Source organism: Homo sapiens, chromosome 17 (assembly GCF_000001405.40).
Source record: "Homo sapiens chromosome 17, GRCh38.p14 Primary Assembly".
NCBI classification, from domain to species: domain Eukaryota; kingdom Metazoa; phylum Chordata; class Mammalia; order Primates; family Hominidae; genus Homo; species Homo sapiens.
In genome coordinates, this window is record NC_000017.11 from 80,608,865 (window position 1) to 80,622,161 (window position 13,297).

Here is a 13,297-nt window from a genome sequence, read left to right on the forward strand (position 1 = left end):
CCGCTATAGTCTGCAGATAACTGAGCACGAAGCTGAGGGTGGTCAGACGCCTATTAGTCGCAAAATTTGCTGACCCAATGTGAGAGTCGGGAATGAACAATGCCTTTTACTGACCTAGGAGGTGTTACAATGACAAGAAGAAGTCAGAGTGGGCAGGAGGCACTAGGCCAGGAGAGGAGAGAGTTGGGAGGAGGAAGTGGCCATGCTGCAGGTGCCCTAACAGATCCAGGGAAGCATGGAGAGCACAGCGCGACCCGTGTGGAGAGGGCATCACTAGCCTGCCTCGGGCTGCAGGGGGCGGGGAGCACATGCGGCGTGCAGACCTTTCCTTAGGTTTGTGCTGGGTGCTCTGCTCTCAGGCCCACAGAATTCTGCACTGTGAGCAGCGCAGGTCGGAAGAGGCATTTGGAAATGACACGCTCTGTCCAGGAACTGCAGTAAACGTTCTAGCTGTTAATATTCTTCCTTCTGGCAGATGGTGGGTTTCACACTGAGTTAAGTAGCTTCACGACTGCTAGTGGCTGGAAGCTTCCAGATTAGTAGTTTAAGCCAGAAAACAATGTTGATACGTCTTGAGATGTGTATAAATCATTTGATTTGGCTGGGCAGGGTGGCTCACACCTGTAATCCCAGCATTTTGGGAGGCTGAGGTGGGCAGATTATTTGAAGTCATAGTTCGAGACCAGCCTGGCCAACATGGTGAAACCCCATCTCTACTAAAAATAGAAAAATTAGCCGGGCATGATGGCGCACGCCTGTAATTCCGGCTACTCAGGAGGCTGAGGCATGAGAATCGCTTGAACCCAGGAGGTGGAGGTTGCAGTGAGCTGAGATTGCACTGCTGCACTCCAGCCTGGGCGACAGAGCGAGATTCTGTCTCAAAAAAAAAAAAAAGTTTAAGGTGTTGGTTGTGTGTGTGTGTGTGTGTGTGTGTGTGTGTGTGTTAAGAGAGCCATTGTAGGCTACATGCATGTGGTAATAGACTTTAAAGGGTAAATGGAAAATGGTAGCTTACAACTGACATTTAGCCAATTGAAAAGTGTAGGCCAGGGTGTAGATAGCACATTCCCCTGCAGTGCCTGCTGGGTCCTGGAACGAGGCCTTCCAGCAAGTCGGTTCTCACGTCAAGGGCATGTCCTGAGGGTTATGGGGCCTTGGCCATCAGGGAGAGAATAAGGTTTTCTCATTTTCGACTTCAACTAATGGTCATAGAGTTGCTTTTCTTTTCATTTATTGGTTTACTGTCCTTTCCTCATCCTCCTCTATCTCTGCGTCCTCCTTTATCTCCAGCTCTTCTCCTCCTCCTCTTTCTCTTCCTCCTTCTCCTTCTCCTTCCCTCCTTGCATTTGTTCATCTTTACCACATTCATTATACACCCAGCAAAATGTGAAACCTTTCATTTCCTGTTCCTGGTACATGCAGCAAAAGCTTGATTATACAACATTATGATGATATAGACAGAAAACACGTCTGAATTGTGTTCATGGAATATGTAGCATTCCCATGGTTGTCAATTACTGTAGCTCATTACGGTGAGCAAGTATGTCTTGTTAGTAAGAAGGTTCAGGGAGTTGAGATGACGGGGCTGAGATGCTGCCTGCTGTCTCCATGGTATGGGCAGGTAATGGTGCAGGGGGCGTTTATGAACTGGTGTGGAGGTGCCTAATAGGGACCCTGTGCTTGAGGAAAGGGCAGAAGGCTGATGGCCTCGTGGCTGTACTCCCGGGTGCTTCTTGCTGGGCGGCTCTCACTGAGTGGGAGTGAATGGGAAGGGAAACTTCCTGATGTGATCCTTCAGCTGAACCTAGGGATGATCTCCACGACAGTAGACCCTGAGGAGCACCCCGTGCCACCCACCAGGAGAAGCCCAGAGGAAGTGATACCCTCCCTGACTTGTTAGAGTGCTTCTCTTGAAGGAAAGAAAACCCAGAAAGTTCTTTTTGACTTCTGTCGTACTGAAGGTATCATCATCTTAGACACCAATTTAGCATGAAGGGAAGATAATGTGTCAGACACTTGAATATTGTTGCACGTCTGCTTTTCCAACTGAATTTTCGAGTGCAGATATATGTGCAGTCTGTTTAATATAATGGGTTTTCGATCTTGTCCTTTCTTGGAAAGTAAAATGCTTTTTATTACCTGGAAACTAATTTCAAGCAATAGATTGCATTTTTCCTGGGAGTCTTGTGGTCAGTTTTGTTTTTCCAATGCAGATTGCCTCCAAATCTTTATTTTGAAAACTTTTCACACAATTGGAAGACCTGAAAGAATGGTACCATGAACACCTCACACTCACCACTTTGACACAAGGCTTGTTTGCATTTTGTCGTATTTGCTCTTTCTGTCACACTTTTGTTTGTTTTTGAATCATTTGAAAGTAAGTAGCACATGTTATTATTATTATTATTATTATTTGAGATGGAGTCGCACTTTGTTGCCCACGCTAGAGTGCCGTGATGCGATCTTTGCTCACCGAAACCTCTGCTTCCTGAGTTCAAGTGATTCTCCTGCCTCAGCCTCCTGAGTAGCTGGGATTATAGGCACGCACCACCACACCCAACTAATTTTTTATTTGTACTTCTAGTAGAGAGGGGGTTTCACCATGTTGGCCAGGCTGGTCTTGAACTCCTGACCTAAAGTGATTTGCCCAACTCGGCTTCCCAAAGTGTTGGGGTTACAGGCGTGAGCAGGAGTGAGCCACCATGCCTGGCTAGTGATTTTCTTCCTGAATACTCCTGCACACATCTCATAAGAATTCAAACATCATTCACCCGTCTAACCATAATACCAATATCACTCCTAAGAAAATTGACCATACTTCCACAATATTATCTAAATAGTTCGTCTATATTGAAATTTCTTCAGCTGTTTCAATAACATCTTTTATAGCTGTTTTTTTTTTTTTAAAAAAAACAAAATCTACTCATTATGTTTGTTTCTTTAGTCTTTTCTAAATGCAGAGGTTTTTCCCCCCCTGTAAATGACACAGACTTCTTGTGGAAGGGTCCTGCTGCTTGTGTTGGAGAATGTCCCACTTAGGTTTTGCTGAGTGTTTCCTCATGGCATCATTTCACTTGTCTTTTCATTCCCTGCATTTCCTGCAAACTGGAAGTTCAATCTAGAGGTTTGATTGTATCCACATTAAGTCTTTTTGGCAAGAACGCTTCATAAGTGTTGTTGATGACTTCACATTGCATTACACCAGGAAGTGATCAGTCTTTAACTTAGAAGATTTGCTCTCACTCTAAAATAGGATAGTTTTAAAAATAGGCATCTTTTTTAAGGGAAGTGTTCTCACTCTTTCACCCAGGCTAGAGTACAATGGTATCATCATAGCTCACTGTAACCTCTAACTCTTGGGCTCGAGTGATCTTCACACCTTACCCTCCCACGTAGCTGGGACTACAGGTGTGCACCACTATGCCTGGCTAATTAAAAAATTTTTTTGTAGAGACAGGGTCTTGCTGTGTTGCCCAGGCTGGTCTTGAACTTTTGAGCTCAACAGATCCTCCCACCTAGACCTCCCAAAGTGCTAGGATTGCAGGTGTGAGCCACTGTTGGGCCTAATATATGAATCTTAATGTTTACTCTGTCTTCACACATAACTGATTGTCTAGTTATTAAATTCTGTGTTGTAAATCTGACTTGCTTAGCTTCCAGTGTCGAATTATCTGAAGCCATTCTGATTTTCAGCCTTTGCTTTGTGGCTCATTTGTTCTCTGAAGCCTGTGTCTTATGTACAAAGAAAGGTGTAAATACTCTTCTTCGACTTTTAATTGAAACTGATTTGGAAATCATTTGTCACAACCTGGGCAACATAGCGAGATCTTGTCTCTACAAAAAATACAAAAAAACTAGCTTGGTGTGGTGGCACCCACTTGTGGTCCTAGCTACTTGGGAGGCTGAGGTGGGGGCATCACCTGAGCCCAGGAGGTTGAGGCTGCAGTGAACCGTGATCACGCCACTGCACTCCAGCCTGGGAGGCAGAATGAGACTTTGTCTCAAAAACAAACAAACAAAACTTTTGTCAAAGATGTAAGGCCATAATGTGGATGGAAATTTTAAGGGGAAAGTAAAATATATAAGCGTGTATGTATAGTTATAAAAAGAACCTAAAGCATCTCAAAGTCCATAGTCCGTCAGCATCAGCGTCTGTCCACAGAGCCAGGGTCCCCCCTTGGATGCATCTCCTGTAAGATGAAGGCCCCCCTGCCCTGGTGTGATGTGTGGCCTTCAGTGATCATCATCATCCTGTCCGAGAGTCCTGCTGGCTCTGCTTGGAGAACCTGGCCACTTTCCTGCCTCTGCTCCTGGCAGCCTCCGTGGCCCGTCACTTCTTGTTTGCCTGTGAATTCTCTCTCCAGACTCGAGTGACACTTTGCCTTGCAAAGCTTTCCCCAGTGCTGTCAGACAGGGTTAGTTCTAAGTCTTTCCTGGGAGATCTGTGGCACTCTGGGCATTTCTGGAAGGAAACTTATGTGTGTCTCTTGTCCCTGGAAGGGACAGGGCACATCTTGTTCATCAGGGCACCGCAGCCCCAGGACCTGACTCTGATGCCACAAGCATTTAATGAAGACGTTCAAAGTGAACATTCAGAATCTCTGTCTCTTCATACTTCTTTTCTTGTGCTTATATTTAGTATGTAGTAACATTCATATATGGACACTTTCAAGAACTAACAGGACACAGGTGCTGTCTATGGTTGAATGACGCTGTGTTGGACTCGGGCTGGGCTGTGTGTTGTGTGGACACAGGTGCTCTCTATGGTTGAATGAAGTGGTGTTGGACTCGGGCTGGGCCGCGTGTTGTGTGGACACAGGTGCTCTCTGTTGTTGAATGAAGTGGTGTTGGACTCGGGCTGGGCCGCGTGTTGTGTGGACACAGGTGCTCTCTATGGTTGAATGAAGTGGTGTTGGACTCGGGCTGGGCCACGTGTTGTGTGGACACAGGTGCTCTCTGTTGTTGAATGAAGCGGTGTTGAGACTCGGGCTGGGCCGCGTGTTCTGGATAAGTGGCTGTGGAGCACGATGAAGCGTCTATCGCAGCATCATCTCTGCACCCAGATGTGGCCGTGCTGAGTGGATTCCTGCCCCAGATCTTGGGAAGAAGGTTGGCTTTCCTCCTGGTGTTGGTGGAAGGCCTCCCCGGCGACACTGCTGCACTCCACTGGGGCCTTTCATTGTCCTGTCCCTTCCTGACAAGGAAATGGCTGGACACTCTCTTCATGTCAGCACCCCTAGGTGCTGGGGGCTCAAAGATAAGCCAGGCCTGGAAGACCCACCCAGAGCCAGGGGAGCCCACCCCCAATACACATACTCACCAAGCCACATGCTGCGGTTGGGGGTCCCAGAGGTGTGCTCAGGCCAGCCTGTGGGGACAGCAAAGTGGCCTCCCCGAGAAGGGGGCCTGTCCTCAGTGTTTCAGAGGCCTCACCTTGTCTCATGCTTGAAATATTTCCTGAAGAATGCCATTTTTGAAATTTATTTTCTAAAGAAAAAAAATCCAAATATTGAAAGGCTCTGCTTGAATTTTTGTCAACAATTACTATATCAAGAAAATATTTCTGATTTAGGTGGCTCCTTCAGAATATCTGATTCCTGTGTTGGCTTCTGCGTTGCCTTTGCAGGCCTGTGTCTGTAGGTGAGGTTTTCCTGTTCAGATGGAGCTCTGTGGTGGTAAATGTGGCCTTCCTTGTTTTATGTTACGTGTTTCTCTCAACTTCATGAGATCAGACCAGATAGAGAATGTTAAAGAAAAAATATTTCGGGCAATTAGAATTGCAAGAATGTCAAGAAGAAATATGTGTAGTGAATAGCAGGCTGTAGAAACCATCTCACTGCTCAGATCTTAAAATCTGTAGCCAAGAGAGGCTTTGAAGCACCCAGGGAAGATGCATGTGCCACTCTGCATTTTGTAAAATTCTGAACCATGGACTTTATTGTAGTGCTCGCTTTGCCGACAGCTGCTTTAGTCGTCGATAATCCCCAAGGATACTTGCGTGTGCTGTTGCCTTCGTCACCAGGACTTGGAGGAAACTGCAGTGTTGCTATTTGTTATTTCACGTTGATATTTCCTTCCACCTTTGGCCTTGTCCTGCGGTAATTCCTCATTTAGGATTCCTTTGAATAGTTGGGTCATGGGGAGAGTTCTGACGTTATTTTACTAAGGTGAGGTTTGCTAAGCCATCATTCTTACGTAGATGGCAGAAAAAGCCATTCGGAGAAAATATCTGAGTCTGTTCCCGCCAGGTTAAATAGAAAGGGGATTTGCCAAGGATCTCCAGAAGACCCGAGAGCCGGTCCCTGACGTTATGGTAGGCTTCAAGGGGGCTTCTGTAGCTGCTGAGCAACTGAGACAGTGGAGGAGTCCTAGAAGACCTGCCACCGCCTCCTGAAGAGCCAGGTGCCTCTGCCACACAGCTCACAGGGTGCTCACCTCCCTGTGGAACGGGGGCCTCGAGTCTCAGGGTCTAGAATTGGATCTTGTAGGTGCATCTGATCATAGGAACCCAGGTCACATGCTGGCCCCTTAGCTGCAGGAGTCAGGACACAGTCTTTTTTTCCCCACCTTAGTAAGCTATGAACCGTAGCATAAGAAATTGTCAAATATATGGAAGGTGTTAAGAAGATTATGGGGAACTACAGATGGCAGATGTCTGCCGTGGTTCCCCATGGGGCATCTTAATGGACGGCTTATTACTAGGTTTTCAGCTGTGCAAGACCTTTGATTCACCCATGCCTTTCATCTCTGATACCCACTTAGCAGCACATGCTGTTACCTATTCTCTTTGAAATTGAGATTTCTTTCTTCCTTGTCCCATTCCACTCTTGCCACACCTAGCTCAGGCCTTCTTATTCCACCGTGACAGCTTCCTGGCTAATTTCCCTTCCTCCATTCTTTTTCTTCCCAAGTAAATGTTAGCCCTTGTCATTAATGTTAGACGTCATCTTCCTGAAAATATCCATTTAGCCAGGTTTATGCCGTGGCAGCTGCAGTGGGGCCCGGAGGCCTTTCTTCCAGGCCTCTGTTATTGGAATCCACCTCCCGCGTCTATTTGGAGCTATGGGGCCTTTGGAACGGCTTCATGAGATGCGTTGGCCCAAGCAGAAGGCTGGTACAGAAGCAGAACAAAGCTCTGAGCATTCTGAGAGTTTTCTGTTGAGAAATGCCATGGGCTTATGTCTTCAGCCTGCCTGGGAGCCCTGCATATTTTTACTTGCCTTGGGGTTGATTTGATGAAGCCTGTACCATGGGTAACATATTGCTGGATAATGAAGAGTGGAAGGAAAATTAGCCCTGAATGAATGACTCAGTCCCATGATAATGTGGCTAATTTTAATTTGCATCAGGAATAGTAAAGCTGTGGCCCAGTGTGTTATCAAATAAATCTCTAAACAGCCTTGAAATCAATCCATTTATTGAAAATTGAAAATCTTTTTTTTTTTTTTTTTTTTTGAGACGGAGTCTCACTCTGTTGCCCAGGCTGGAGTGCAGTGGCACGATCTCAGCCCACTGCAACCTCTGCCTCCCAGGTTCAAGCAATTCTGCCTCAGTCTCCCGAGTAGCTGGGATTATGGGTGCACACCACCACGCCTGGCTAATTTTTGTGTTTTTAGTAGAGATGGGGTTTCACCATATTCGCCAGGCTGGTCTCGAACTCCTGACCTCGTGATCTGCCTGCTTCGGCCTCCCGACGTGCAGGGATTATAGGCATGAGCCACCGCACCCGGCCTGAAAGTTGAAAATCTTGTTCCATGAAATAAATTTTAGAAAATTAGCCAGACATGGTGGCGCATGCCTGTAGTCTGAGCTACTCGGGAGGTTGAGATGGGAGGATCCGTTTGAGCCCTATTGAAGCAATAGGCTTCACTTTGTATCTTGAACTGGGAAGGAGTGGAGAAAAAAAAAATATTAGAGCCCTTTGCTATACTTACTTTACGAAGACCAATTATTTGTTGGTTTTTAAGGACCAGAGTTCCCAGGAGTAAGTGAAACACGACTCGATCTCTTAAGTGTGCCCAATACTGCCAGCACAACATTCCTCACACCGGTCCAGCTTGCTAGTTACCTTGGATACTCGCCCAAGCTTCAGCTGACTGCGCAGGTTATTTTCTATATCTTCAGGGTATAAAAACAGTTGTATAGACATACATGCACAACCATGAAAAAAATTTTTGACTATTGTGGTAAAGTCATTTTTATCCCCACTTCTGCCCCCCCATGCTTATAGAAATAACATGTTTATGGTAGATGGAAAGTGCATACACAGAAGGGCCAGGTACAAAGAAGAAAAGAAGAATCATCCACGTTCCTCTGAAGAGGTCAGAATCACTCATGACATCTTGTGTTTTCATTTGGTACGACCTTATATTTGGAATCACAGTTGTGGGTACAGTTTTGTACCCTCCTCTTTTCAGTTATGTTTGAGCATGTCCTGTGCCATTTAATATTCTTTGAGAACATATTTTTTAAACAGCTCTACTGAGATACAATTCACATACCCCAGAGTTCACCCATTTACCAACAGAGTTCACCAACAGTTGCAATCTGAAAGTATGTTTTTGTAAAGGACATATACTATTTTATCATGTAACACTGTTTAATATACGCCATTTAATTATGCCCTTCAACGTGGAATTTTAGGCTTCCATAGGATACAGTTTATCGTATTTAGATTTTATGCTGTTGAATGACTTGGAATTAATTTGTAAGTGTAGAGAAAAATGAATCCTAGGGCTCAGAGCACTGCAGCAGATCACGTATTTTTGCTCTGTGACAAAGTATTTTTATTTTCACTTTTTCTTTTTTTGTTAATTTCACCCCATAAGGTGTTTCGGGTAGAGGCAAATCCCACAAGTATCCTTGGGGATTATCGACGACTAAAGAACAGCAAAGAAATGGTTCCTAGCTCCTCACGCAGTCCTTGGTGGGCGGTGGGCTGACTGGCTGCGCACGCTAGGCCTCAAGGTAGAAGCGGTTCATTTAGAGACCCCCAGGCATAGTCGCATGGCTTCACACACCCGCACCAGGGCTGACCATTTGTTTTTGGAGGAACCACAAAAGGATTCAGTATGGAATTCCTTAAGAAGGGAGTTTCTTTAGTTTGCTTAAAATAGTTACAACTTTTTTTTTTTAAGACGGGGTCTTGCTCTGTCACCCAGGGTGGAGTGCAGTGGTGTGATCTCGGCTCACTGTAACCTCCGCCTCCCGGGTTCAAGCAGTTCTCCCACCTCAGCCTCCCGAGTAGCTGGGACCATAAGTGCGTGCCACCACAGCCGGCTAATTTATTTATTTTTATATTTTGTAGAGACAGGGTTTCACCACGTTGGCCAGAGTGATCTCAAACTCCTGACCTCAGGTGATCCGCCAGGCTTGGCCTCCCAAAGTGCTGGGATGACAGGCGTGAGCCACCATGCCTGGCCAAAACAGTTGCAGTTTCTATAATAAACTTTTTTTCCCCCAGAATAAAACTAGCACCTTTAAAGTGAGCTATAACGATTCCTTTTATGAAACTTATTTTGTATGCAGTTCTTATTTTGACTTTCAGAAATCTAAATTTCTCAAGGGTCTGTGATGTTGGAACTAAACTCATACCAAGTCCCTTGTGCAGTTTGCGTGGTGCAGGAAGGGGTGAGCCAAGTGAGGACTGTAGCACTCACGTGTGCGAAGGTCGCCGTGGGCGAGGCCTCCTCATCCCTGAGGCCGAAATTTTCCTCTTCTCGTTTCCTTTTGATCAGGATGTTCTACAGGGGTGGAGGCAGATTTTAAAAGCAGTGATACATAGACAGAATTTGGCCTAAAAAAAGAGTAGTACTTAAATCTAAATGAGGCCTCTGGCTCAAGGTAACGAGCTGAGCTCATAGATTCAAGCACCTCTCCCCTCATTCCCAATTCCCATTGAAATGAACAAAGGAATATAAAAATAGAGAGTCTCCCAAGCTAACACAGTTGCTGCTGGTGATGATGATCTTGTTTTGGACTGCAGGTTTTGGTTGCAGAAATTCAGTTGGATGTGCTTCCTGCGGGTTTGGTGCTCACTTTGTAGCAGTGCTTGGGGATGGAAGTGAGGGGCAAACTGGCTTTTCCTTCTCTTGGACAACTTGGTTACCCGCCTCCCCTTCCCTGCGAGGTATATCTACTCTCTTTGCTATGTGTTCTAGTTTCTGACTCTCTTTATAAATTATGCATTTGTGTAGCTTCGGCTTTGCTCCGAGTTTCTGCTTGATGCTGTGAATCCTAATGAGCGCTCCCGGGAATTGGGTGGCTCTGCCTTCAGACAAACCAGGGGATAGTGAATGTTGTGACCTGTGTGGCCAGCCCCAGTCTTGCTTTGTGTTTATTTTCCACAACTCTCAGTTGTTGATGTTGGGAGGATAAGTGTGAGCCACACTCTCAGTGTGGGGGACAGAAGGCAGTGATTGGGCTGCTGAACATGTTTAATTTCTTCATTCTGCATGGTGACTTAGGTGTCACTGCACGTCAGCCTGTGAATTTATACCCAAGCTTGTTTGTGCCACCTGATCACCTGTATCTTTTTAAATATATATGATTTTATCCAATCAGTTATGAAGGAAGACTCTAGTAAGGAAATCCCTTGTGATTTGCTTTGAATTCTTTGGGAGGTGACAGGCGTTAATAGGTTTTTCACCTGTGAGGTGACATGCTCTGAGCTTACAGGCCTTCGAGTGGAGGTGATCTGGTCTGCAGGCCCTGTGTGCAATTCTGAAACCCAGAAGCTCTGAACGCTGGATTATTTCCACAGCTCATTTGGTGGCAACGCTTGGCCTGAGCTGGGGTGAGACTGGACACTCTTGATTGATTCCATGGAGAGTGGAAATGTTAACGTGGTGAGTGTTGGGTGCTGCTCCAAACCCTCCTGGGTGTGTTAACCCTCCTGGGTGTGTTATGTGAGATGGGGCAGAGGGATCACATTATCCTTTCACCAAGCTGAACACTGTGGAATTTCAAAACCAAGCTGGCACCAAAGGAGCATCAAGAACACTGCCCAGGCTGTTATAATAACATCAGGACCCCACTGCTTGACGGCCCCCAGCCTCTCCCACCTGGAATCCAAAGTGCCGTGGAGATCTTTGAGCCGGGGCACAGGATCCTTAGGCGTGTGCTCCAGCCTTTAGTGGGTGCCTCCAGGATGGCTGGGAAGACCAGTCATGAGTCAGAACTTCAGAATCTGAAAAATCCTTAGCACCTGAGAGGTCATCTGTCTCCACCCCCTCACTTTAAGGATGAGGAAACTGTTCAGGAGGGATTGAAATTTACCGTCATGTCCAAGGCCATGCATTGTTAGTGAGCATTTATAGTTTTATAGTTTCTCAAAATGATACTCTTTTCAAATTCAAAATTAACCTATGGGGATATAACGATGTCATCTTAAATTACATTGCATTGGAGGAAAATGTCTTAAAGTCAAAAAACTTATGTAATATTATGCAGTTTTTGGCACATTAAATTTGATAGCCCTTACATTTTAAACATTCTGTAACTGTTATTAAAAAACATTAATCAAGAGTTTTTGAAACGAGGTTGCCATAGAAATGAAAATACAATGCCAAAAAGACATTTTAGGTATAGCTAAGAATTTAAAAACTTACTAAATTTGAGGCCAGGTGTGGTGGCTCACACCTATAATCCCAGCACTTTGGGAGGCGGATGCTGCCAGATCACCCGAGGTCAGGAGTTCAAGACCAGCCTGGCCAACATGGCGAAACCCCATCTCTACTAAAAATACAAAAAGTTAGCTGGGCATGCTGGTAGGCGCCTGTAATCCCAGCTACTTGGGAGGCTGAGGCAGGAGAATCGCTAGAACCCAGGAGGTGGAGGTTGCGGTGAGCCGAGATCGTGCCACTGCACGTGATCGTGGTCAACAGAGCAAGAGTCTGTTTCAAAAAACAAAACAAAAAACTTACCAAATTTGAAATTAGGCTCACAGTGTTAAAATCTGCAGAGGAGCAAGACGTATTTTTTTTGGCTTAAGGATATGTGATAGTACTGTCTTTTGCCCAGTTTTGGAGTTAAATTGGTAGCTAGATATTAGAGCTAACACGTTGTTCTAGTTCATGTGTGAGTGTATTCGCGAGGTGCTTTTCTTGTTTTCTTTAAAAGTATAATGCAGGATGTAGGGTTAGGTGTGTATTGTATAAACAAGATGAATGAAATTAATTTATTTCTTGTCTTCATTCTTGTCTTTGTATAGTGTAGCTACTTTCACACATTCCAGCTGAGGGCCATGCCTTCCTATTGCTGGCCTGTAAAGAAGTCAGAAATGGTCTCTCTAGGTAGCATTTGGTGAGTCAGGAAGACCACACTTGCTGACAGGCACAGTGAGGTGAGGCCCCTAGCCATCCCATGGGACTAAAGGATGATTCTTGGGCTTCTATTAATACTTTTGTGTAAGGGACTCAGAGATCTTCAGAGATACTTTTATAATTAACTAGAGCTACTCATTTGACTGAGAATGTTAAATTTTAAAAATTTAATTAGCTGCATTTGTAGAGGTGGAGGGAATATGACTTGTCTAAAATGACAGCCGAGGTAGCAGAAATAGGAATCAGTCAGAGGTGTTGGGAATGCCGTATCACCGCCCTGTGTCGGCCTCTGCCGCCTCCCCAGCCCCGAGACGCAGAGGAGGAAGCAGACCCAGCAGCCGCAGAGCCTCTTCACCCAGCGAGCTTGCCCTAGTCCTGGCTGCCCCACTTGCTCGCTCCCTGGACTTGCAGCCGCCCCTTACTCCCTGGATTCCTCGCTGGGAGGGGAACGCCACCACCTAGTTCATGTCCCTGTGGTGAAGGATGAAGTGGACTGTGCGTCTACACTGCACGGCTCAGGGAATAAGCACTAGCACAGGGAGTCACCATTGATCCGAAGTGCTGGGACTGAGTCCCAAACCTGGCTGTGAATTTCCCGGGGGCAAGAAAGAACAGGGTTGTGTGGGAAGTTACTGAGCATACATCAGCCCAGAAAAACAGCTCTGCCCACCTTTTCCTGGGGCGCACGGAGCATGTGGATAAACGGGGAGAAAGCACTGCCAGACAAGCCCCAGGGCAGCGGCGGTGGCACTTGGCCACGGGAGCAGCAGGTGGGTGTCTCAGATTCGGCCCGTTAATGCTGTTTCTTCCACGGGCTTTTGCTAGAGGAGCCTAACATCAGTTTAAGGCCTATTCTCTTTGCAGATTAGGGACAAGATAAGAAGCCAGTGGGGAACCAGTTAAGCTGTGGGGAAGCACAAGGTCTATTAGAAGGCTTCCCTTCCCACAGAGGGACCCTGCAGATGACTGTAGGC

The 13,297-nt window shown here is 46.0% G+C and overlaps 1 protein-coding gene across 2 annotated transcripts in view, besides 5 other annotated features; it reads left to right on the forward strand.

Moving 5' to 3' along the window:
- RPTOR (regulatory associated protein of MTOR complex 1) overlaps positions 1-13,297 on the forward strand; it is a 421,531-nt gene that overhangs the window by 64,027 nt on the left and 344,207 nt on the right. The window lies entirely within an intron of this gene.
- Positions 4,583-5,084: an enhancer, noted in NCBI's record as "H3K4me1 hESC enhancer chr17:78587247-78587748 (GRCh37/hg19 assembly coordinates)". NCBI's record gives its function as "activates a minimal SCP1, AML or CMV promoter by ChIP-STARR-seq in primed H9 embryonic stem cells {active_cell/tissue: H9 hESC(primed)}" and the evidence as "EXISTENCE:reporter gene assay evidence [ECO:0000049][PMID:30033119]".
- Positions 5,085-5,584: an enhancer, noted in NCBI's record as "H3K4me1 hESC enhancer chr17:78587749-78588248 (GRCh37/hg19 assembly coordinates)". NCBI's record gives its function as "activates a minimal SCP1, AML or CMV promoter by ChIP-STARR-seq in primed H9 embryonic stem cells {active_cell/tissue: H9 hESC(primed)}" and the evidence as "EXISTENCE:reporter gene assay evidence [ECO:0000049][PMID:30033119]".
- Positions 7,102-7,602: an enhancer, noted in NCBI's record as "H3K4me1 hESC enhancer chr17:78589766-78590266 (GRCh37/hg19 assembly coordinates)". NCBI's record gives its function as "activates a minimal SCP1, AML or CMV promoter by ChIP-STARR-seq in primed H9 embryonic stem cells {active_cell/tissue: H9 hESC(primed)}" and the evidence as "EXISTENCE:reporter gene assay evidence [ECO:0000049][PMID:30033119]".
- Positions 7,603-8,103: an enhancer, noted in NCBI's record as "H3K4me1 hESC enhancer chr17:78590267-78590767 (GRCh37/hg19 assembly coordinates)". NCBI's record gives its function as "activates a minimal SCP1, AML or CMV promoter by ChIP-STARR-seq in primed H9 embryonic stem cells {active_cell/tissue: H9 hESC(primed)}" and the evidence as "EXISTENCE:reporter gene assay evidence [ECO:0000049][PMID:30033119]".
- Positions 11,092-11,292: a silencer, noted in NCBI's record as "peak3026 fragment used in MPRA reporter construct". NCBI's record gives its function as "represses an SCP1 promoter by STARR-seq MPRAs in K562 erythroleukemia cells {active_cell/tissue: K562}" and the evidence as "EXISTENCE:reporter gene assay evidence [ECO:0000049][PMID:32103011]".